The sequence below is a fragment of the Homo sapiens genome, chromosome 17, assembly GCF_000001405.40.
Source record: "Homo sapiens chromosome 17, GRCh38.p14 Primary Assembly".
Lineage (NCBI taxonomy): Eukaryota > Metazoa > Chordata > Mammalia > Primates > Hominidae > Homo > Homo sapiens.
In genome coordinates, this window is record NC_000017.11 from 60,972,985 (window position 1) to 60,999,855 (window position 26,871).

Sequence of the window (26,871 nt, forward strand, 5' to 3'; positions counted from 1 at the left end):
TTTTCTTTCTTTTCCAGTAGGGTTAGAAAGGGCGTTGTTATTGGAATCATTAGGCATACTTTTGGCCATAGAAAGAAAACCACATTTAACAATGGTTTTTTAAAATCAGTGTTTATTTTTTATCACGTTATAAAATGTTTGCTGCTGGTCTTGGCTGAATGATGTCTATGTGACTTTTTTTGCTCTTTCCCTCATGATTCCTTTATAAATGTCACTTCCCTGGGCATCATTTCAGACTTCAAGGCAATAAGAAGGGGAGAAAGGGCACCATCAGTGATGTTAATTTCCTTTATCAGGAAAGCAGATACTGTTCCAGAATCCTGCAATAGCCACCTGCCTTTGAGTGATCATAACTATGTCACCACTTGTTGTAAAAGAGGCTAGGCAATCACAGATTAAGTATCTGTGGTGGCATCCAGTGAAGGAGTGAATGTTGGAGATGGATGTTGGATTTGCCTCTCAGTAGTTAAATCTATATAATCATCACCACAATCAAGATATAGAATAGTTTTCTTATCTCAGAAACAACTTTCCTCCTGCCCTTTTTCGTCAGTGCTCTCTGCCCTGCTGCTGCCCTAGACATTGCTATTACCTTATTATTAATATATATATATATATATATATGTATGAAGGAGTCTTGCTCTGTCCCCCAGGCTGGAGGTCAGTGGTGTAATCTCAGCTCACTGCAACCTCCACCTCCCAGGTTCAAGCGATTCTCCTGCCTCAGCCTCCTGAGTGGCTGGGATTACAGGCGCATGCACCACACCCGGCTAATTTTTGTGTTTTTGGTAGATACAGGGTCTCACCATGTTGGCCAGGCTGGTCTTGAACCCCTGACCTCAAGTGATCCACCTGCCTCGGCCTCCCATAGTGCTAGGATTATAGGCGTGAGCCACCACACCCTGCCTAAAAATATTTTTTCTGTAATTTCTAAGGTTTGATATGGGGTTGGAGGGAATGCTGTTGCTGGTCACTTTATTTTCTAACTTGGTATTGCTGATCAGTACCAGAGTTATTATTTAAGTATTCTAAAAATGCATATTTCTTGGTCATCCCCCCTCCTACCCAAATAACTGCTGAATCATAATTCTGAAGATGTGACCACAGGATCTGCATTTTGTACAGATCATCTAAGTGCTTCTTATCACACTAAAGTTTAACAATCTCTGCTTCAGGTTTTTTTAGGATGTTAAATAATCCCAAAATGTTATCATTCTTATTAATTGAGGTTGTTATTGAGTTTTTGGTGGTGAATTCACAGCCTTATAAGATGCTGATTTCTACATCTTAGATGCTGAAATGTAGTAACATTTAATTCTAGTACCCAATCCTCTTGTTTCATATGTACTTTGACTTCAACCCATTTTGTGAATTAATTTTTTTAAGTTTTGATAAAATGTTGAACATAGATGAAAACACTCTTTAGAAATTTTATGTTCCATGTGAGTATATCTACTATATTAGATATTGGTTTCCCCAAATATTACAGTTTTGAATTCTCAAATCGATGAAATATTTAAAAATGAATAACTCAGATTACATAAAGTATTTGTATAAATCGGAATTACTGGACTATGACTACAGTACGTTTTAAAGAACAAATATCTTAGCATTTTAGAGGCCTAATTGGTTTCTGATTAGCCAAATTTTATATCATTATAATGAGAAATGTGAGATATTATAAATATGCTAAATAATACAGGAAACATTTAATGAATGGTAAATTACATAACCTAACATAAATTTGCAAAACATTTAATTAAACACTGTAATACTGTATTTGTATCTCATTAGTTGAGAACTCTGACATTTGTATACTTAAAAACTCTAAATTGGTAATAATGAGTGCCCTAATGAGGATTCCCAGATTAAGTTAAGTGCTGTTTGCTTGAGTTTTTCTTCTTATGGCACACTTTTATGCTGAATGGAAGGAAACTTAATAAGAACATCTGGTTATACCTTTTACCCATATTATATTCAAGCCATTTGTTTTTTTTGTTTTTTTTGCTTTTTTGTTTTTTTTTTTTTGAGACGGAGTCTCGCTCTGTCGCCCAGGCCGGACTGCGGACTGCAGTGGCGCAATCTCGGCTCACTGCAAGCTCCGCCTCCCGGGTTCACGCCATTCTCCTGCCTCAGCCTCCCGAGTAGCTGGGACTACAGGCGCCCGCCACCGCGCCCGGCTAATTTTTTGTATTTTTAGTAGAGACGGGGTTTCACCTTGTTAGCCAGGATGGTCTCGATCTCCTGACCTCATGATCCACCCGCCTCGGCCTCCCAAAGTGCTGGGATTACAGGCGTGAGCCACCGCGCCCGGCCTCAAGCCATTTGTTTAACCCAACCCCAGATGTGAAATGAGCCACGATAGGCACAGATAAAAATGCTCGTTTAGGCTTCTCAGCAGCTGCTTATCTTCCTTTGTGCATAGGACAGCAAAGGCATCTCTAAGAACTAAGGGGGCTATTAAAAGAAACCACAAACTATAAAAAGAGGCTATAGAACTTCACTTTCAGGAAACTGGCTAGTTAGTGTTCCTTTCATTTTTTTATGACAGATTTGTTGAGGTATAATTCACATACATAAAGTTCACCATTTTATAATGTACAATTCAGTAGTTTTTTAGTATATTCAGTTATCCATTGATCACTACCATTCAATTCAAGAACATTTTCAGCACCCCAAAATGAACCTTGTACCTATCCAAGTCACTCTCCATCCCCCTCTCCCTGCTCCTCTGCAATTACTAATTTATTTTCTGTATCTGTGGATTTGCTTATTTTATACATTTCATATAAAATGGAATCATACAATATGTGGCCTTTTATGTCTTGTTTCTTTCACTTTGCATAATGCTTCAAAGTTCATCCATTTTCAAATATGCATCAGAAACTTCATTCCTATTCATGGATGAGTAAATACTATTTCATTATATGGATATATGACATTTTGTTTATTCATTTATCAATTGATAGACATTTAAGTTGTTTCCACATTTGGGCTTAGGAATCCAGCTGCAAACATTTGTATATAGATTTTTGCTTTTTTTTTTTTTTTTTTTTCTTTTTGAGATGGAGTCTTGCTCTGTCGCCCAGGCTGGAGTGCAGTGGCTCACTGCAAGTGCAAGCTCTGCCTCCCGGGTTCACACCATTCTCCTGCCTCAGCCTCCTGAGTAACTGGGACTACAGGCACCTGCCACCACACTCGGCTAATTTTTTGTATTTTTTAGTAGAGATCGGGTTTCACCGTGTTAGCCAGGATGGTCTCAATCTCCTGACCTCGTGATCCACCCGCCTCGGCCTGCCAAAGTGCTGGGATTACAGGCTTGAGCCACCACAGCTTGTATATAGGTTTTTGTATGAACGTATGTTTTTAGTTCTCTTGAATATCTATCTAGGAGTGAAAATGCTGGGTCATATGGTAACTTTATGTTAAACTTTTGGAAACAATATATATATATATATTTTTTTTTTAGTATTTATTGATCATTCTTGGGTGTTTCTCGGAGAGGGGGATTTGGCAGGGTCATAGGACAATAGTGGAGGGAAGGTCAGCAGATGAACATGTGAACAAAGGTCTCTGGTTTTTCTAGGCAGAGGGCCCTGCCGCCTTCCACAGTGTTTGTGTCCCTGGGTATTTGAGATTAGGGAGTGGTGATGACTCTTAAGGAGTATGCTGCCTTCAAGCATCTGTTTAACAGAGCACATCTTGCACTGCCCTTAATCCATTTAACCCTGAGTGGACACAGCACATGTTTCAGAGAGCACGGGGTTGGGGGTAAGGTTATAGATTAACAGCATCCCAAGGCAGAAGAATTTTTCTTAGTACACAACACAATGGAGTCTCCTATGTCTACTTCTTTCTACACAGACACAGTAACAATCTGATCTCTCTTTCTTTTCCCCACATTTCCCCCTTTTCTATTCGACAAAACCGCCATCGTCATCATGGCCCGTTCTCAATGAGCTGTTGGATACACCTCCCAGACGGGGTGGTGGCCGGACAGAGGGGCTCCTCACTTCCCAGACGGGGCGGCCGGGCAGAGGCGCCCCCCAACCTCCCAGACGGGGTGGCGGCCGGGCGGGGGCTGCCCTGCACCTCCCGGACGGGGTGGCTGGCCGGGCGGGGGCTGCCCCCCACCTCCCGGACAGGGCGGCTGGCCAGGCGGGGGCTGCCCCCCACGAAACAATATTTTTTAAGCTTTTATTTTTTAGAGATGGAGTCTCTAAAAATATGCATTGCACAGGCTGGAGTGCCGTGGCTCAATCATAGCTCACTGCAGCCTCAAATTCTTGGGCACCAGCGATCCTCCCACCTCAGCCTCCCAAGTGATTGGGACTATAGGCACATGCCACCACACCTGGCTATTTTTCTTTTTTCTTTTTGTAGACACAAGGTTTCACTGTGTTGTCCAGGCTTATCTCTCTGGCTTCAGGTGAACCTTCCACTTCAGCCTCCCAAAGTACTGAGGTTACAGGCATGAGCCATTGCATTTGGCGGAAGCACTTTCTTTTTATTATTATTATTATTATTATTATTATACTTTAAGTTTTAGGGTACATGTGCACAATGTGCAGGTTAGTTACATATGTATACATGTGCCATGCTGGTGCCCTGCACCCACTAACTCGTCATCTAGCATTAGGTATATCTCCCAATGCTATCCCACCCCGCTCCCCCCACCCCACAATAGTCCCCAGAGTGTGATGTTCCCCTTCCTGTGTCCACCTGTTCTCATTGTTCAATTCCCACCTATGATTGAGAATATGCGTGTTTGGCTTTTTGTTCTTGCCATAGTTTACTGAGAATGATGATTTCCAATTTCATCCATGTCCCTACAAAGGACATGAACTCATCATTTTTTATGGCTGCATAGTATTCCATGGTGTATATGTGCCACATTTTCTTAATCCAGTCTATCATTGTTGGACATTTGGGTTGGTTCCAAGTCTTTGCTATTGTGAATAATGCCTCAATAAAAATACATGTGCATGTGTCTTTATAGCAGCATGATTTATAGTCCTTTGGGTATATACCCAGTAATGGGATGGCTGGGTCAAATGGTATTTCTAGTTCTAGATCCCTGAGGAATCGCCACACTGACTTCCACAATGGTTGAACTAGTTTACAGTCCCACCAACAGTGTAAAAGTGTTCCTATTTCTCCACATCCTCTCCAGCACCTGTTGTTTCCTGACTTTTTAATGATTGCCATTCTAACTGGTGTGAGATGGTATCTCATTGTGGTTTTGATTTGCATTTCTCTGATGGCCAGTGATGGTGAGCATTTTTTCATGTGTTTTTTGGCTGCATAAATGTCTTCTTTTGAGAAGTGTCTGTTCATGTCCTTTGCCCACTTTTTGATGGGGTTGTTTGTTTTTTTCTTGTAAATTTGTTTGAGGTCATTGTAGATTCTGGATATTAGCCCTTTGTGAGATGAGTAGGTTGCGAAAATTTTCTCCCATTTTGTAGGTTGCCTGTTCACTCTAATGGTAGTTTCTTTTGCTGTGCAGAAGCTCTTTAGTTTAATTAGATCCCATTTGTCAATTTTGTCTTTTGTTGCCATTGCTTTTGGTGTTTTAGACATGAAGTCCTTGCCCATGCCTATGTCCTGAATGGTAAAGCCTAGGTTTTCTTCTAGGGTTTTTATGGTTTTAGGTCTAATGTTTAAGTCTTTAATCCATCCTGAATTGATTTTTGTATAAGGTGCAAGGAAGGGATCCAGTTTCAGCTTTCTACATATGGCTAGCCAGTTTTCCCAGCACCATTTATTAAATAGGGAATCCTTTCCCCATTGCTTGTTTTTGTCAGGTTTGTCAAAGATCAGATAGTTGTAGATATGCGGCGTTATTTCTGAGGGCTCTGTTCTGTTCCATTGATCTATATCTCTGTTTTGGTACCAGTACCATGCTGTTTTGGTTACTGTAGCCTTGTAGTATAGTTTGAAGTCAGGTAGTGTGATGCCTCCAGCTTTGTTCTTTTGGCTTAGGATTGCCTTGGCGATGCGGGCTCTTTTTTGGTTCCATATGAACTTTAAAGTAGTTTTTTCCAATTCTGTGAAGAAAGTCATTGGTAGCTTGATGGGGATGGCATTGAATCTGTAAATTACCTTGGGCAGTATGGCCATTTTCACGATATTGATTCTTCCTACCCATGAGCATGAAATGTTCTTCCATTTGTTTGTATCCTCTTTTATTTCCTCGAGCAGTGGTTTGTAGTTCTCCTTGAAGAGGTCCTTCACATCCCTTGTAAGTTGTATTCCTAGGTATTTTATTCTCTTTGAAGCAATTGTGAATGGGAGTTCACTCATGATTTGGCTCTCTGTTTGTCTGTTGTTGGTGTATAAGAATGCTTGTGATTTTTGCACATTGATTTTGTATCCTGAGACTTTGCTGAAGTTGCTTATCAGCTTAAGGAGATTTTGGGCTGAGACAATGGGGTTTTCTAGATATACAATCATGTCGTCTGCAAACAGGGACAATTTGACTTCCTCTTGAATACACCTTTATTTCCTTCTCTTGCCTAATTGCCCTGGCCAGAACTTCCAACACTATGTTGAATAGGAGTGGTGAGAGAGGGCATCCCTGTCTTGTGCCAGTTTTCAAAGGGAATGCTTCCAGTTTTTGCCCATTCAGTATGATATTGGCTGTGGGTTTGTCATAGATAGCTCTTATTATTTTGAAATACGTCCCATCAATACCTAACTTATTGAGAGTTTTTAGCATGAAGGGTTGTTGAATTTTGTCAGAGGCCTTTTCTGCATCTATTGAGATAATCACGTGGTTTTTGTCTTTGGTTCTGTTTATGTGATGGATTATGTTTACTGATTTGCGTATGTTGAACCAGCCTTGCATCCCAGGGATGAAGCCCACTTGATCATGGTGGATAAGCTTTTTGATGTGCTGCTGGATTCGGTTTGCCAGTATTTTATTGAGGATTTTTGCATCAATGTTCATCAAGGATATTGGTCTAAAATTCTCTTTTTTGGTTGTGTATTTGCCCGGCTTTGGTATCAGGATGATGCTGGCCTCATAAAATGAGTTAGGGAGGATTCCCTCTTTTTCTATTGATTGGAATAGTTTCAGAGGGAATGGTACCAGTTCCTCCTTGTACCTCTGGTAGAATTCGGCTGTGAATCCATCTGGTCCTGGACTCTTTTTGGTTGGTAAGCTATTGATTATTGCCACAATTTCAGATCCTGTTATTGGTCTATTCAGAGATTAAACTTCTGGGCGGAAGCACTTTCTAAGTGGCTACACCATTTATATTTCCCCTATGGAAATTTGAGTGTTTCAGTTTCTACACATCCTCACCAAAACTTATCATCTTTTTTTATTTTAGCCATTCTTTTCGGTATGAAGTGGTATCTCATTGTGGTTTTTATTTGCATGTCCTTAATGACTAATGATGTTGAGAGTCTTTTCATATGCTATTGGCCATTTGTTTATCTTCTTTGGAGAAATATTTGTCCCAGTCCTTTATTTATCAGATGTATTATTTGCAAATACTTTCCCTCATTCATTTTATGGCTTTTTTAACTTTCTTAATGGTATTCTTTTTTTTTTTTTTTTTTGAAACAGGGTCTCACTCTGTCTCCCAGGGTAAAATGCAGTGCTGCAATCACAGCTCACACCAATCTTGACCTCCCTGGGCTCAAGCAATACTCCCACCTCGGCCTCCTGAGTAGCTGGGACTACAGGCGCACACCAGTATGCCCAGCTAATTTTTCTATTTTTTTTGCAGAGACAGGGTTTCACCATGTTGCCCAGTCTAGTCTTGAACTTGTGGGGTCAAGTGATCTGCCCAGCTCAGGCTCCCAAAGTGTTGGGATTATAGACAGGAGCCACTGTACCTGACCTTTATTTATTTATTTATTTATTTTGGAGGCAGGTTTTCACACTGCTGGCATGCAGTGGCACCAGTATGGCTCACTGCAGCTTCAAGCTCCTGGGCTGAAGCGATTCTCCCACCCTAGCCTCTTAAGTAGCTGGAACTACAGGCATGTGCCACCATGCCAGGCTAATGTGTTTTTATTTTTTGTAGAGACAGGTCCTTGCTATGTTGCACAGGCTGGCCTTGAACTCCTGGCCTCCAGCAGTCCTCCCACTTCCCCCTCCCAAAGTGCTGGGATTATAGGCATGAGCTACCATGCCCAGCCAATGTATTCTTTGTACATGCAAAGTTTTTAATGTTGAAGAAGTATGATTTGTCTACTTTGACTTGGGTTGCTTATAGGTGATCTCGATTAAGAGTCCAAGTAAGAGACTAATATAGTAACCTTGTAGATGATAGTGTTTTAAGTGTATTTTTTTTTTTTCTTGAGACAGGGTCTCGCTCTGTCACCCAGGCTGGAGTGCAGTGGCATGATCTTGGCTCACTGCAGCCTCTGCCTCCTCCCAGGTTCAAGCAATTCTCCTGCCTCAGCCTCCCTAGTAGCTGGGATTACAGGCATGTGCCACCACACCCAGCTAATTTTTGTATTTTTAGTAGAGACAGGGTTTCACCATGTTGGCCAGGCTGGTCTGGAACCCCTTACCTCAAGTGATCTGCCTGCCTTGGCTTTCCAAAGTGCTAGGATTACCTACGTGAGCCACTGTGCCCAGCCACAAGAGTGATAGCAGTATGTTGATAGCAGTGAAAACAGACATTTGGACAGAGTTGCAATGTATTTTTATGAGGACAATAATAATAATAGCAAACATCTTTGTATAGTGCTTATTAAGTGCTAGGCACTGTTCTAAGTGCTGTATGCAGTAACTCATACCCAACAACCCTATGAAATTGGCATAATTATTCCTGTTTTGCAAATGAAGAATCTCAAGGCACAGAGCTGGTAATTAACTTTCATATGGCCATATAGCTTGTAAGTAGTAGATATATTTACTGTGATATATTGCCTCTAGGTAAAGCTTATATATGGCTTTATATTTATAGTACTGTTTCCATGTATTTTCATAATCTTCTATAATATTAAACTTTGTAGATTGTTTCATTTCAAATTGGTATTTTAAATCTAATCTGAAAAGAAATTATATGTGTATGCACAAATGTGTATATGTAGTTATGTAATATATATAAATGGATAGATATACTGTATATTTGCATTAAGAGTTGCCTGAAAGAAGGATGTGTTCCAAGATAATGAGAAATAGTTGTGGGATTTATGTGTGTGTGATTTTTTTAAAATACCAAAGTTATTTTCTGTATTTATGTTCATTATTTTATTATATATAGCTATATTCTACCTTGAAAACAAAATAAACAAAATATCTGCTTGCTATTGAATGTCATTTTTCTTCTTTTAAGCAGATAATCCATATTTTTTAAATTAATTAATTTATTTTACAGATTGGGGGTCTCACTCTGTTGCCCAAGCTAGAGTACAGTGGCACAGTCATAACTCACTGCAGCCTCATAACTCCTGGGCTTAAGCGATCCTTCTACCTTAGCCTCCTGAGTAGCTGGAGCTACAAGTGCATCATTGCGCCTCGCTTGCTATTGAATTCTTTAAAGTACCTTAAAAATAAAGTATCTTAATTTCATTGGTCTCATGTTCTTAACTCATGTCTTGTATGGATTTTTCTTAAGGGAAGACTTTCTTTAGTTTTTCCTCTCTCTACTGTGGAGAATCTAATAACACTAACTTTGAATTTCAACTGAGCAAAAGATTATTCCCATAAAAAGAATGTCTTTCTTCTCATTGTAGATCTATATTACAAAAAACTATATTGAATTATTATATTTTGAATTGCATCAACAAAAATTTTGTCAAAATTTGGTTTTTCTCTTGTTATAAACAACAACTACATGGTACCTTTGATTTTGCTTTCTTGTCTTCAAGGCCTAAAATTTATTATCTGGTCCTTTACAGAAAAAGTTTACTGAACCCAGTTCTAAAAAAAACCTCCACTTCTCTCATGTCCACAAACATTTTCTGTGTCAGTTCTATAGGATTCTGAAATGTGGCCAACCAGGAGCACATATACTTTATCTCTTGCTATTCACATCTGCTTAGTTCCTGAGTTTAAAATATTGACTAGTGAGTGTCTTAAAGAAAAAAATATATAAATATGTTTGTGTCCTAAATTTGAGAGCAGGGGTTTGAATAGTGAGTGGTACCTGTACTTGTTTATTATTTGTTACCACGGTTGCCTAATCTGTACATGGTAAATGTTATTTGTCATGATATTCATGATATTTAGTGCTGTAGAATTAAATCAGTAATGCGACTCGACTCCTATCTAGCTCTTCTTTTTGTGATGAGAATATGTTAATTACAAATAACATTCCATAATTGAGGTCCAAAAATCATGCAGATAATGTCATCACCTTATTACTAGTTTTCCATTTTTACAGGTTTTTTTCATTTTTAATAATGTCTGAAAAACCGTCCAGCTAGTTAACTAATAGCAACAGTTATATTATTTTACATCTTGTGGATAGGCAACTTGTTATCCTCTGTAATGTTATTTAAAGGATTAAACTTTCCCTACTTATTTTGACAGCTAGTATCTTTAGCAGTCCTTCTCTGCTCATTTATATATGCTGATATGTCTTCAAGGTCATAGAGCAGAATCACTTCTCTATTAGCAGTTTTCTAAAAAAGCATTAGGTGGAATTCTGTCTTCCTGCCTTGATACTGTTACTAACACCACCTCTATATCCTGAGTAGTCTAAAAATGAAAGAAAGAAACTCCTTTTTATTGACAGACCAGGAAGTGGTCTTGATTATAAGTGTTTTGGAAAAAGATGTTAGATAACATAGTTCAATTTCACTGTGGCTGGAACATAAATTGCTCAATGATAAATCTAAGGATGCCTTTCTTTATATAGTTGACTCTGTCATGTGAAAATGCATTTCATATTATGATATTAATTTCTTCCGGTACTATATTTCTTTTCTCTTACTTCTTCTGTTTACACCTTTGTTCGTCCTGCTTTTCCCTTCCTCTTGCTTTTCTACGACTTTCATCCTTTCTTTTAATAGGACCCCTGATCTATTCAGAAAAGTCAGTTAAGCTGAACATAATCGTAGGCAAGCTACAGAGGTTAAACACTTCTGGAATAACTATTTATCTGAAATGCTGGAATTGTTGGGAGTTAAATTTCTCAGCTTTTAGGACAGTCTTTAATTATATCATTAATGTGTCATTTGGATGTGTCACAATAGTCGAGATTGGCAGGCATGTGGTTGAATTTTGAGTTTGTTCATGTACTGATGATGTTTGTGTAGCAGTTTTCTAGCAATGAAGTATCTTGTCTTGATACATAAGACTAAAATTTCTTTTTTATTTAAAAGATTCCAGGCTCTATTAGAAACTTGTACTTTGATGGCTACCTAGAGCTTTTGTTTGTGGTGCGTTTCTGAAATATGTAGTCTTATTTGAAGACCTAATACACTGAAAAGTGTTTCTCTGACCACTTGGGGACTTTTACCTAATTCATGTTATTATAATGAAGCTAATATGCCTCATGCACATAGATATGTATATATACAGCTTTTTTTTAATTTTTAATTTTTGTGGGTACATAGTAGTTATGTATATTTATGGAGTACTTGAAATATTTTGATACAGGCATATAGTACATAATAATCACATCAGGGTAATTGGGGTATCCATCACCTCAAGCATGTATCCTCTGTGTTACAAACAGTCCAATTACACTCTTTTAATTATTTAAAAAAATTTTTTGTGGGTACATAGTAGGTAGTTATATATATTTGTAGAGTACATGAAATGTTTTGTTTTATCCAGGCACAGTGGCTCACGCCTGTAATCCCAGCATTTTGGGAGGCCAAAGTGGGCAGATCACCTGAGGTCAGGAGTTTGAGACCAGCCTGGCCAAGATGGTGAAACCCCATCTCTACTACAAATACAAAAATTAGATGGGCGTGGTGGTGCATGCCTGTAATCCCAGCTATTTGGGAGGCTGAGGCAGGAGAATCACTTGAACCCAGGAGACAGAGGTTGCAGTGAGCCGAGATTGCACCACTGCACTCTAGCCTGGGTGACAGAGTGAGACTCCATCTCAAAAAAAAAAAAAAAAAAAAAAGTTTTGTTTTAATACGGGCATACAATGTCAAATAAGTGCATAGTGAAGAATGGGGTACCCATCTCCTCAAGCATTTATCCATTTGAGTTATAAACGATTCAACTGTATTCTTTTTTTTTTTTTTTTTTTTTGAGACAGAGTTTCACTCTTGCTGCCCAGGTGGGAGTGCAGTGGCATGATCTCAGTTCACTGCAACTTCTGCCTCCAGGGTTCAAGTGATTCTCCTGCCTCAGCCTCCCCAGTAGCTGGAAGTACAGGCATGCGCCACTATGCCTGGCTAATTTTTTGTATTTTTAGTAGAGACAGGGTTTCACCATATTGGCCAGGCTGGTCTCAAACTCCTGATCTCAGGTGATCCACCCGTCTTGGCCTTCCAAAGTTCTGGGATTATGGGTGTGAGCTGTCACACCTGGTCCCAATTATATTCTTTAAGTTATTTAAAAATATATGATTAAGTTATTATTGACTATAGTCACCTTATTGTGCTATCAAATAGTAGGTCTTATTTATTCTATTTAAAAATGTAGAATTAAATTATTATTGACTACAGTCACCCTGTTGTGCTATCAAATACCAGATATTATCCATTCTTTCTATTTTTCGTACCCATTAGCCATCCCTACTCCCCCCTCCTCCCTCCACTACCCTTTCCAGCCTCTCGTAAACATCCTTCTACTCTCTATCTCCATGAGTTTATTATTTTGTTTTATTGATTGATTGATTGAGATGGAGTTTCGCTCTGTCGCCCAGCCTGGAGTTCAGTGGCACGATCTCAGCTCACTGCAACCTCCACCTCCTGGGTTCAAGAGTTTCTTCCACCTCAGTCTCCCAAGTAGCTGGAATTACAGGCGCACGCCAACACACCAGGCTAATTTTTGTATTTTTAGTAGAAACAGGGTTTCACCATGTTGACCAGGCTGGTCTTGAACTCCTGACCTCAAGTGATCTGCCTGCCTTGGCCTCCCAAACTGCTGGGATTACAGGCCTAAGCTACCATGCCTGGCCAAGTTCCTTGTTTTACGTTTTAGATCCCACAAATAAGTGAGAACATGCAAAGTTTGTCTTTCTGTAAGTGGCTTATTTCACTTAACATAATAACCTCCAGTTCTGTCCATGTTGTTGCAAATGACAGGATATTATTCTTTCTTTTTATGGCTAAATAGTACTCCATTGCGTATATATACCATATTTTCTTTATCCATTCATCTGTTGATGGGTCCTTAGGTTGCTTCCACATCTTGGCTATTGTGAATAATGCTGCAATAAACATGGGAGTGCAGATATCTCTTTGATATACTGATTTCCTTTCTTTCGAGTATATACCTAGCAGGGGAATTGCTGGATCATACGGTAGCTCTAGTTGTAGTTTTTTCAGGAACCTCCAAATTGTTCTCCATAGTGGTTGTATTAATTTACATTCCCACCAATAGTGTATGAGGGTTCCCTTTTCTCCACATCCTTGCCATCGTTTGCTATTACCTGTCTTTTGGATAAAAGCCTTTTTTTAAACTTGAGGGAGATGATATCTCATTGTAGTTTTGATTTTCATTTCTGTAATGATTATTGATGTTGAGCACATTTTTGTATACTTGTTTGCCATTTGTATGTCTTTTGAGAAAATCTATTCATATCTTTTGCCCATTTTAAAATAGGATTGTTAGATTTTTTCCTGTTGAGTTGTTTGGGCTCTTTTCTAGTTGTTAATCCCTTGTCAGATGGACAGTTTATAAATATTTTCTCCCAATCTTCGGGTTATCACTTTGTCGATTGTTTCCTTTGCTGTTCAAAATCTTTTTTAACTTGACATGATCCCATTTGTCTATTTTTGCTTTGGCTGTCTGTGCTTGTAGGGTAATACTCAAGAAATCTTTGCCCAGTTTCAATGTTCAGGAGTTTCCCAAAATGTTTTCTTGCAGTAGTTTCATAGTTGGAGATCTTAGATTTAAGTTTTTAATCCATTTTGATTTTATTTATGTGTATGGCGAGAGATAGGGGTCTATTTTTATTCTTCTGCATATGTATATCCAGTTTTCCCAGCACTAATTATTGAAGAGACTATGTTTCCCCAATATATGTTATTGACGTCTTTGTTGAAAATGAGTTCACTGTAGGTATGTAGATTTGTTTCTTGGTTCTCTGTTCTGTTCCATTGGTGTATGTGTCTGTTTTTATGCCAGTACCATGCTGTTTCAGTTACTATACCTCTGTAGTATAATTTGAAGTCAGGTAATGTGATTCCTCCAGGTTTTTTTTTTTTTTTCTTTTTGCTCAGGATAGCTTTGGTTATTCTGGGTCTTTTGTGGCTCTATATACATTTTAGGATTTTTTTTTCTATTTCTGTAAAGAATGTCATAGGTATTTTGATAGGGATTGCATTCAATCTGTAGATTGCTTAGGGTAGTATAGACATTTTAACAATATTGATTCTACCAATCCATAAACATGGAATATCTTTCTATTTTCTTGTGTCCTCTTCAGTTTCTTTTTATCAGTGTTTTGTAGTTTGCATTGTAGAGATCTTTCACTTTTTTTGTTAATCGCTAGTTATTTATTTGTAGCTATTGTAAGTGGGATTACTTTGTAAATTTCTTTTTCAGATTGTTCACATTTGGCATGTAGAAATGCTACTGATTGTTGTATGTTGATTTTGTATCCTGCAACCTTACTGAATTTGTTTATCAGTTCTGTTAGTTTTTTGGTGGAGTCTTTAGGTTTTTCTGAATATAAGATCATATGATCTGCAAACGAGGCTCATTTGACTTTTTCTTTTCGAATTTGGATGCCTTTTATTTCCTGTCTGATTGCTCTGGCTAGGACTTCCGGTACTTTGTTGAATAACAGTGATTAAAGTAGGCATCCTTGTCTTGTTCCATATCTTGGCAGAAAGGCTTTCTGTTTTTCCCTGTTCAGTAAGATACTAGCTGTGGGTCCATTGTACATGGCTTTTCTTCTATGGAGGTATTTTCCTTCTATACTCAGTTTTTTAAGAGTTTTTATTATGAAGTAATGTTGAATTTTTATCATATGTATTTCCAGCATCAGTTGAAATGATTATATGGTTTTTATCCATTATTCTCTTGATAGAACATGTCACATTGATTTGTGTATGTTATACTGTCCTTGCATACCTGGGATAAATTCCACTTGGTTGTGATTTTTTTTTTTGATGTGTTGTTGAATTTGGTTTACTAGTATTTTGTTGAGGATTTTTACATCAATGTTCACCTGGAATATTGGCCTCTAGTCTAGTCTAGTCTAGTCTTGTCTGGTCTTGTCTTTTCTTTTCTTTCCTTTTCTTTTCTTTTTCTTTTTTTTTTTTTTTTTTTTTTATGTATGTGTTTGGTTTTGGTTTCAGAGTAATAAAAGCATTGTGGAATGAGGTTAGAAGTATTCCTTCCTCCTCTATTCTTCTCAATAGTTGGAGTAGGATTGGTATTAGTTCTTCTTTAGATATTTGGTAAAACATCTAAAATTAAGCAGTGAAGCCATTGGTCCTGGATTTTTCTTTGCTGGGAGACTTATTACATCTTCAGTCGCATTACTTGTTACTGGTTTATTCAGGTTTTGGATATTTTCATGATTCAATCTTGTTAGGTTGTACGTGTCTGGGAATTTATCCATTTCTTCTAGATTTTCCAACATATTGGCATATAATTGCTCATAGTAGCCTCTAATGATCCTTTGAATTTCTGTAGTATCAGTCATAATGTCTCCTTTTTCATCTCTGATTTTATTTGAGTCTTCTCTCTTTTTTTCTTAGTTCAGCTAATGATTTGTCAATTTTGTTTATCTTTTTAAAAAACCAACTTTTCATTTTGTTAATCTTTTGTATTCTTCATTTCAGTTTTATTTATTTCTGCTTTGATCTTTATTATTTATCTTCTACTAATTTTGGGATTGGGTTCCTCTTGCTTTTCTATTTCTTTAAGATGCATTGTTAGATTGTTTATTTGAAGTTTTCCTTTTTTTTTATTTAGGTGCTTATAACTATAAACTTCCCTCTTAGTACTGCTTTTACTGTATCCATATATATATTTTCATGTTAAGTTTCATTCACAAATATCTTTATTCTACTGTGCTTTTTCTCTTGTCTGGATTTTTTAAAACACTATTTGACAATTGTTTTAGGTGGTGGAAAATTAATTTAGTCAGTGTAGAAAACTTAAGTATCTGTGAGCTGCCTTCCTTTTAGAGGCTATGCTTAAAAATGCTTATAACAGTATCAAATTTTCCTTAGCTTTCTTTAATTTTTTTCTGAAATAAGTAAGTGGAGATATTTTTGCTCAAGTTGTCACCAGTTGACTGATATTGAGATAAAGGTAGTAAATTCAATTTGCTAATTCAGAAATACTGGAGATTCTTTATTCACTGTATGATAAGTGTCATACAAATTAACTTTCCCTGGCTCAGGTCTGTGGCTCACCACTTGTTTTTTGTAAATAAAGTTGTTTTTTTTTTTTTTTAACATAACTGCACTCATTTACATATGTTCTATGACTGCTTTGACAGTCCAAGAGTAGAGCTGAGTAACTGCAACAGACAGTGGAGCTTTTACATCCTACAAGGCCATATGGCCTCTTACAGAAAAAGCTTGCAGATACATGAGCCACTGCAGATACATGAATTATTGTTGTTATCAGTTATGTGTGTGTGTTGGGGGGCAAAGGGCATTGAGTGTTTTAAGATCTTCTTTCTTTGCATTTCACCTCTCTTCAGGATCCTGTATCCCTGACTATTGAAGTAACATTCTACCTAATGGAGTTTTGATCAACAGTCATTGTGAAATGCATCTGTAGAGTAAATTTTTATTTATTACCTGATCTTAGGTACATTTGGTAATGAGGCAATCATTTATATTCATATTTGGTGATGTGTGATACTCTTAGAAAAATCCAAGTAGTTTGAGACATTTTTGTATCTTTTCTTATCTCATTTCTAGGTACAGGACATCTGCTTCAGCCATGACTGTCGCTGGGTTGTGGTCAGTACTCTCCGGGGTACTTCCCACGTTTTCCCCATCAACCCTTATGGTGGCCAGCCTTGTGTTCGTACACATATGTCACCACGAGTAGTGAATCGCATGAGCCGTTTCCAGAAAAGTGCTGGACTGGAAGAGATTGAACAAGAACTGACGTCTAAGCAAGGAGGTCGCTGTAGCCCTGTTCCAGGTCTATCAAGCAGCCCTTCTGGGTCACCCTTGCATGGTAATTTTCTCTGTCTCCACTGTTATCTTGAATCTTCCTTCCCTTTGTCCTTATTTTTACAGATCTGGGATAAAACTAAACTTGTTATAGTCTGTTCATGTAAAAAGAAGATCTTAGGCTTATATGAAATTCTTAATTATTAAATAATTTAATAAATTGGAGCCAGTATAGTAATGGTGATCTTTACCATGCTATTTTAACTCCCTGTTTCAATATATAAGGGATATTTGGTATCATATTTATGGAATATAAAACTTGGAACTATTTTTATAACTTCAGAGAACTGAACATCCTTTTTACTTATCTCTTCCAGAACATTCTATGTTCAATGGGACACTATAGTTTATTAAGAAATATTCATTGTTGGAAAGAAATAGTCATGGGTAATGTGTATTTTAGATAGAGCAGCATTTGCTTTTTTTTTTTTTTGAGACGGAGTCTTGCACTGTAGCCTGGGCTGGCATGCAATGGCGTGATCTCGGCTGACTGCAACCTCTACCTCCCAGGTTCAAGCAATTCTCCTGCCTCAGCCTCCCGAGCAGCTGGGATTACAGGCATCCGCCACCACGCCTGGCTGATTTTCAGTATTTTTAGTAGAGATGGGGTTTCACTATGTTGGCCAGGCTTGTCTTGAACTCCTGACCTTGTGATCCACCTGCCTTGGCCTCCCAAAATGCTGGGATTACAGACATGAGCCACCGCACCCAGCCTGCATTTTATTTTAAAATGGGATTGGCGGGATTTCTGCTGTGTATCTCAGTAATTTATCTTAGAGCAAGTAGCTGTGTAACCATCATCCCAATCAATAAATGGAACATTATTGGAATCTCTCTTTTGCATACCTTCTCCATAACATTAAACCACAATTCTCATTTTTATGGTAACCACTTCTTTACTTTTTAGAATATTTCTACTCCTAAGCAAGTGTCCTTAAACACTATTGTTTCCATTTTATGTAAATGGAATTGTAGAGTATGTATATTTTGATATCTTTGGCTTCTTTAACATTATATTTGTGAGATTCAGTTATGTTGTTGCAGGTAGGTTTAGTTCATTTATTTACAGCTCTCATTTATTCCATTGTACTTCTGTTTATTTATCCTTTCTACTACTGCTGATGTACATTGCATGGTTTCAGGTTTGGGGATAATATGTATACTAATTTTTGAGTGGAAATTCTTGATCATAACGTAGTTGAATCTTAACCTTGATAAATAACACTGGAGTGGTTGTACCGTTTCATTCTCACTAGAACGACAGAAAACGTTGACATTAGATCACCTTTTCTGGAGCATTGCAGATTTCCCTTGATGGGTGACCATTTTAGGTTTTCAAGATTGGGGAATCTTATATAGAGAGATTGTGGTTACCACAGAAAGTCATTGTTATTTTATTAATTGACCTGAAATTCACATAACGTAATATTCACCATGTAAATGTGACAGTACATTCATGATGTTGTGCCACCACAACCTGTTTACAAAACATTTTCCTCACTCCAAAAGGAAACCACATATTCTTTAAGCACTTACTCCTCATTCTTCTTTCTCCTAATCCCCTAGCAAACACCACTCTCTGCTTTGTAGACTGTTACTTGTCCTGTATATTTTATATAAATATAATTATAGAATATATGACCTTTTGTTTCTGCCTTCTTTCATTTAGTATAATGTTTTTGAAGTTCATCCACATTGTAGTATATATTAACACTTCACTCCTTTTTATGGGTAAATTATATTCCATTGTAGGAATGTAACGCAATTGATCTGTTCATTCACTGAGGTACATTTGGGTTGTTTCTACCTTTTGGTTATTGTGAATAGTGCTATTATGAATATGTGTGTACGTGTATTTGAGTACTTCTATGTAATTCTTTTGAGTATGTACCTATCCTAATTTGTTTCAGCTTCTGTACTGACCACATTACACATTCTTTCGTAGTATCCGATGACTTACACACACACACACACACACACACACACACACACACACACACTCTGTAGGAAGCTTAAAGATAGACTGAAAAAATATAGGTAAATGTTTTCCTCGGGACTTTTGTAACTCAAAAAAATGGGACCTCTTTTTACTCCTGAGATCATACTTTATGCTTTGGTTCTATTATTTTTAATGAGAATGATTGTTATTCATGTGTATTTAATTTAACTAGTGACCCATGATATTTAAGGTTGAAAGTTTTTAGAATCAGCTCTAGATGCAAAAGGTCATTGGGAGCTAAACATTGAGTATACATGGACATAAAGATGGGAATAGTAGACACTGGGGACTCCTGGAGGGAGGACAGTGGGAGGGGGTGAGGGTTGAAAAACTACCTGTTGGGTACTACGCTCACTACGTGTGACAGGATCATTTGTACACCAAACCTCAGGGACATGCAGTTTACCCATGTAACAAACTTGCACATGTGCCCCCGAACATAAAATAAAAATTGAAAAACAATGCTTATATTTCAAAAAAGTATATAGAATTTTTATAAAATAAAATTTAGAAAGCTATGAGATATTGATATTTTCAGCTATTTGCTAGACATTTTATTTCAGACTTAGTTACATTTTTTGGTGTTAGTGTTAAAATTGTGTTTTCTATGTAGATGTGTAGTATAGGTTCTTTGGGGGCTTTTCTTTTTGTGTCAAATGTTTTTCATAACATAAAATTTTAGCAAAATCTTTTGGCAAAGAGATTCACTGTACACATGGAGCAGCTAGGTCAATAAGAGAAACCACAGATGTATTAGTAAATTAAGAAGGCTTTGTGATCCCTACATTTATATGTCTTTGGAAGATATTTCCTTGAGCTTCTTTTTTGTTCTTATTCTTGCTTCTTTATACAGCAAACCACATAAGAGGTTTTTGTGTTAAGATTCAAGCATAATGTGCACAAAAGATTGTGGGCATTCCTACCCTCATAGATCTTGTATTCCACGGGAAAAGACAGATATTAAATGACTGTGAACAAATACCTTTCAATATACTTTTGTTGAAGGTTGCAAAGTGCCAGTCAATGAAGGATTTCATCATTTGTGAAAGGACAGTAGTTAAAGAGCAATACTACTAGATTTCCAAGTCAAAATATATTGTTTTCTCTCAGCTTTATTGCTTTCATGTCTCTCTGCATGTTTTTTTCAGAAATCTCAAAGAGGAGAATCCACACTGTTCGACTATGCTGCTGTACTTAAGATTTTCTTTTGAAAGCAAGGAATTTCAGGCAGCCTATTCCTCCTGATAGATAACACGTGTTAAAATTTTATTTCCAGAATTTCCGTCTATTACTCTGTGTAGTTTTTCTCATTTTTGAAGCATGGACTTTAGAGTGATGGTCATTTTTCTTCATGTTTTTTTGTATCTTACATGTCATAACAAAATGGGCATTGTTGGTTAGTTCTAAAAATGATGTATTTACAGTTTGTGTGGGTAAACAGTCTGATGCTGGTCAAAAACAATGTAAACCATTGAACAGGGAGGGATTCATCTTGAAAATGAATCATGTTTTGGCGGTATTACCGTTGTTTGTCTGTGCTCTTTTTAGCCAAGTAAAGGAAACTGTTAAATAACAGTTGATATAGGGGTATTTCCTTTTTACTCTTTGGACCCAATCCAGTTTAGGTTAGGATTATTTTATCTATTTGCCAATTTTTTTAACTTTCCAGAGGATGTTTATTTATTTGAAATATATTCTTTATAAATATCTCTTCCATTTCCTATCTTGTTGCCTGAACATCCACTTAGTCTACTTGAGGACTTCTTGTGATCCATGAACAGGATAGGAAAAAAATTTACATCTTTATATTCACTATCCTTTAACCAAAAGTAAGCATTTCCTTTTTGTTATGAACATGGAAAATACATGACAAAAACATTAACAGTGCTTGTGACACTGTTACCAATAGAAAATGCAGAATTACTCATATCACTTTATATATGAAATATATATCTTGAAGTATCTTGCATTATTGAATATATTTTAAAATATTGTTTTTACTCATCACTACTTTGAAATTATGATTATATAATATTTTAGTATTAATTGATTATATACATTACTATAACACTTTATTTTTAATATATTGATAACTGTACTTCAGTATAGTTCATTTTCTTTGTAATTATATGTCTTTTTCCCATGGCTTGTAAGTATTATTCTGGGAAACATTCCTCAGGCTTCCCCAGACTGTCCAAATAGTCTGTGATACAAAAATGGTTAAGAATCCCTGATCATCATTTTTTCCCTCATCTATATCAGTAATTTCTAACAATTTTTTACTATCACAAGCACTTCCTTGTGGAATGTTAGCTATAAATATGATCTGCCAATTTTCTGCTTAAGATCTTTGTGTCTCACCATATTCCTAGAAGGTTAGAAAATGTCCTATCTTATTTCCAGCTTCTTGTCTAACCATACCTAGATTTCTGTACCCTTCCCTGAATATGCCACATGTATTTATTTTTTGATAACTTTCCTATTTGCAACTTTTCTTTATTTGACATTATTATTGCCTCTTTGAATGCCTACTAAGCAAGCTAAAATATTACTGCCTCTCTTAAGCCTTCTTTTGATTTTTATCATCTTTTTCAACCTTGGTATTGGTATGCTCTGCATACTTTTATCATATTATAATATGCAGGTTATTCATTGACATGTCTGGGCTTCCTATTAGATTGACTTCTGTGAGCACAAAGTCTTTTTGGTGTTTCTATTTGTATCTTGGCAGTTGACATAGATTCTAAGGCCTTTTTTATTTTTTTGAGACGGGGTCTCGCTCTGTCACCCAGGCTGGAGTGCAGTGGCGCCATCTCGGCTCACTGCAAGCTCCGCCTCCTGGGTTCAAGCGATTCTCCTGCTTCAGCCTCCTGAGTAGCTGGGATTACAGGTGCGTGCCACCATGCCCAGCTAATTCTATTCTATTCTTTTCTTTTCTTTTAGACGGAGTCTTGCTCTGTCTCCCAGGCTAGAGTGCAGTGGTGCAATCTTGGCTTGCTGCAACCTCCACCTCCCGGGTTCAAGTGATTCTTCTGCTTCAGCCTCCCAAGTAGCTGGGATTACAGGTGCCCGCCACCATGCCTGGCTAATTTTTGTATATTTAGTGGAGACAAGGTTTCACTCTGTTGGCCAGGCTGGTCTTGAACTCCTGACCTCACCGTGAGTGAGTGATCTGCCCACCGTGGCCTCCCAAAGTGCTGGGATTACAGACATGAGCCACCGCGCCCAGCCGAATTTTTGTATTTTAAGTAGAGACTGGGTTTCACAATGTTGGCCAGGCTGGTCTCAAACTCCTGACCTCAAGTGATCCACCTGCCTCAGCCTCCCAAGGTGCTGGGATTACAAGCGTGAACCACCGCGCCCGACCAGTTTCTAAGGCTTTAAACCAGAGTTTTAAAACATCTTTAGAAGTTGTTCTAAGAAAAACAATTTAGATTTAAATAATTACTTGTTAGAATGAAGAGCTTTTTATTCATAGTAACAACTTAAAAAAACATCTCCAAGGTGTAGTCATTTGATCAACAACATTAATTAGTGTTTATTGTGTCCAGGCACTGTTCTGAGTTTAGGAATTTAGCAGTGAACAAAAGAGAAACATGTCTGTGTTCCCATGGAGCCACAGAGAAAAATGAGGGAAGGGGAATAGGGAATGCCTAGGGAGGATTGCAATTTGAAATTAGTATGCTTCCCATAGGCCTTGCTGAGATGATGACATCTGAGCAAAGATCTGGTGGAAGTAAGAGAGAAATTCATATAGAACAGCCTGTGTAAAATCCTGAGGTGGGAGTGTGCCTGGCATGTTCAAGGAATGATAAAGAGACCAGTGTGGCTGAAGCACATGGTGTAAGGTGTATAATAGGTGATGAGATCGGAGAGGTAATGAGGGCAGATGATTGTTAGCCTTTCACTCAGCATGAGATGGAGGGGGGCTCTGGAGGGCATTGAGAATAAGAGTGACATGATAATACTGTGTTTTGGCAGGACTAGAATGGAGATCTGTATTGAGAACACAGTCTGTACGTGGACATGGGTGGAAACTTAGTTGAGACCAGTTAGGAGAGTATTGCAAAAAATCAGGCAAGAAAAGATGAGGTTTGGAGTAAGTTGTTTATAGTGAAGACTGTGAGAAGTCATTGGATTCTTGATATATTTTTTATGGTATGGCGATCAGAATTTCTGGTACATTTTATGTCAAGTATGAAAGAAGAGATGAGTCAAGATGACTAGTAAGACTTTTAACCTAAACATCTAGAAGGATAGGGTTGGTGTCAATTGAAATGAAGAATGTTGTGGATAAAGCAGGTTTTGGGATGGGGACAGGATCAGGAATTTTGGACATGTTAAGTTTAATATGATGTCTTTTTGACCTCCTACTGATGGTAAGTAGGTAGTTGGTTACATGAGTCTGGAGTTCAGTGGAAAGCAGTCATTTATGTAGGGATAAATGTTTGCAATGCATAGATGGTAGCTGAAACAAAAATGAGATGAGATCACCTTGTAGGTAAGTGAGTATAAAAAAGAGATGTCCCAGGACTGAGCCCTGGGGCCCTCTGACATTAAGTAGCCAGTGACATACAAAGCAAAACTATATATGAGAAATCCTAGAGGCCAAGTGAATTAATTCTTTTAGAGAGAAGGGAATGATTAATGTGTTAAATTCTACTGACAGATCAATGAAGAACTGAGAAAAATAAGACTATTAAAATTAGTAATGTAGAAGTGTGATCCCCAACCTTTTTGGCACCAAGGACCGGTTTTGTGGAAGACAGTTTTTCCATGGGCCAGTGTGGGGAGGGGTGGGAGGTTTTGGGATTAAACGGTTCCATCTGAGATCACCGGGCATGAATTAGATTCTCATAAGGAGTGTGCAACCTAGATCTTTGCATGTGTAGTTCACAACAGGGTCTGTGCTCTGATGAGAATCTAATGCTGCTGCTGATCTGACAGGAGGTGAGCTCAGGTGGTAATGCCAGCTTGACAGCCACTTACCTCCTGCTCTGCAGCCTGGTTTCGTACAGGCCACAGACCGGTACCAGTCCACCACCTGGGAGTTGGGAACCCCTTGTGTAAAAGACATATGTCTTTGATAAGAATACTTTTGGTGGCATGGTAAGTTCCTGGTCCCAGTGGATTTTAGTAAGAATAGGAAAAGACAGTGTCGACAAGTCTTTCAGGGAGGATTGATGTAAGGGGAAGCAGGAACATTTAGAGGAGACAGAGGATGTTGCTTCTTTTATCATAAGGAAATGGGTAGTGAGGATGGGTGCAGGTATTGGAGCTTTGAGGAGAAAGGCAAAGGTAAGAAATAGTCCTCTAGGAGAATAGGCATTCCTTTCACCAGTTAGTAAATTTTTGTTGAATGAATAAAGCATATCTTCCACCGTTATTTGTGCCCTAAGTAAATTTAATTACATATCTTTGCTTTCCAGCTTCAATACCATGTTTCTACACCTAAGTTACTTTCTCCCTACTTCTTCAGGTACACATTCAACCCCATCTTTAAAGGCCAGCTTGTGATGTACTTTCTCTCTCTAAAAATAGTGTTGAATTTCATATATTTGCTCCTTCTGTAAACCCTTTATCTGTACTGATTGTTTTCCACTTTCTGCCTATTATTATTGGTTTTTAAATTTTAGATTAAGAGTGTACATGTGCAGATTCGTTACATGGGTATATTGCATGATGCTGAGGTTGGACTTCCATTGATTCCGTCACCCACATAGTGAACATAGTACCCAACTGGTGGTTTTTCAACCTCCCCACCCTTTTCCTCCCCACTTTTGAATCCCTAATGTCTATTGTTCCCATCTTTGTGTCTGTATACACCCAATGTTTAGCTCCCACTTATAAGTGAAAACATGACATATTTGGTTTTCTGTTTCTGTGTTAATTTACTTAGGATAACGACCTCCAGCAGCACCTATGTTGCTGCAAAGGACACGATTTTATTCTTTTTTTATGGCTGCATAGTATTCCGTCGTACATATGTAGCACATTTAAACAATCTAATCCACCATTGATAGGCACTTTGGTTGATTGCATGTCTTTGCTATTGTGAATAGAACTGCGATGAACATATAAGTGCATGTGTTTTTTTTGTAAGAATGATTTATTTTCTTTTGGGCATATACCCAGTAGTGGGATTTCTGTGTCAGATGGTAATTCTATTTTTAGTTCTTTATGGAATCTCCAAATTGCTTTCCACAGGGACTGAACTAGTTTCCATTTCCACCAACAGTGCATAAGTATTCTATTTTCTCTGCAGCCTCACCAACATCTGTTGTTTTTTGACTTTTTACTAATAGCCATTCTGACTGGTGTGAGATGGTACCTTATTGTAGCATCTGTCTGATGATTAGTGATAAGCATTTTTATATGTGTATTGGCCATTGTATGTCTTCTTTTGAGAAGTGTCTGTTCATGTCTAAATGACCCTTTTAATGGGGTCATTTGTTTTTTGCTTGCTGATTTAAACTTCTTATAGATTTGGGATATTAGTCCTTTGTTCAGATACATAGTTTGTAGTATTTTTTTCCCATTCTGTAGATTGTCTGTTTACTCTGTTGATAGTCAGAAGCTCTTTAGTTTAATTAGGTCCCAGTTGTCAATTTTTTTTGTTGCATTTGCTTTTGAGGGCTTAGTCATAAATTCTTTGCTCAAGCCAGTGTCCAGAAGAGTTTTTCCTGGGTTTTCTTCTAGAATTTTTATAGTTTCAGGTCTTACATTTAAGTCTCTAATCCATCTTGAGTTAATTTTTGTATGTGGTGAGTAGGTAGGAGCCTAGCTTAATTCTTCTGTGTGTATATAGTTAGCCAGTTTCTCCACATCATTTATTGAATAGTTATATCCTTTCCCCATTGTTTATTTTTGTCGACTTTGTCGAAGAATATCAGGTGGTTGTAGGAGTGCAGCTTTATTTCAGAGTTCTCTGTTCTTTTCCATTGGTCTATGTGTCTTATTTTTGCACCAATACTATCCTGTTTTTGTTACCATAGCCTTGTAGTACAGTTTGAAATGTGATGTCTCAGGTCAGGCGCGGTGGCTCACGCCTGTAATCCCAGCACTTTGGGAGATGAAGGCGGATGGATCATGAGGTCAGAAGTTCGAGACCAGCCTGGCCAACGTGGTGAAACCCCGTCTCTACTAAAGAGACAAAAAAAATTAGCTGGGTGTGGTGGTGTGCACCTGTAATCCCAGCTACTCAGGAGGCTGAGGCAGGAGAATCACCTGAACCCGCGAGCTGAATGTTGCAGTGAGCTGAATGTTGCAGTGAGCCATTGCACTCCAGCCTGGGCGACAGGGTGAGACTGTGTCTCAAAAAAAAAAAAAAAAAAGAAAAAGAAAAAGAAATGTGATGTCTTAGGCTTTGTTCTTTTGGCTTAGGATTGCTTTGGCTATTTGGGCTCTTTTTTGATTCCACATGAATTTTAGAATAGTTTTTTCTAATTCTGTGAAAAGATGACATTAGTAATTTGGTAGGAATAGTATTGAATCTTTAGATTACTTTGGGTGATAATGGACATTTTAACAATATTGATTCTTCCAATCCATGGGCATGGAATGCTTTTCCATTTGCTGGTGTCATGTGTGATTTCTTTCAGCAGTGTTTTGTAGTTGTCCTTGTA

General features: G+C 37.7%; 1 protein-coding gene across 8 annotated transcripts in view; it reads left to right on the forward strand.

Annotated features, from left to right (window-relative positions):
* Nucleotides 1-26,871, forward strand: part of BCAS3 (BCAS3 microtubule associated cell migration factor) — a 714,981-nt gene that overhangs the window by 295,134 nt on the left and 392,976 nt on the right. For all 8 annotated transcript variants that reach the window (NM_001353144.2, NM_001353145.2, NM_001330413.2 and 5 more), the window contains exon 15: nt 16,987-17,251. In NM_001353144.2, coding sequence (NP_001340073.1) covers nt 16,987-17,251 — 265 coding nt within the window. The remainder of the gene's footprint in view (nt 1-16,986; nt 17,252-26,871) is intronic.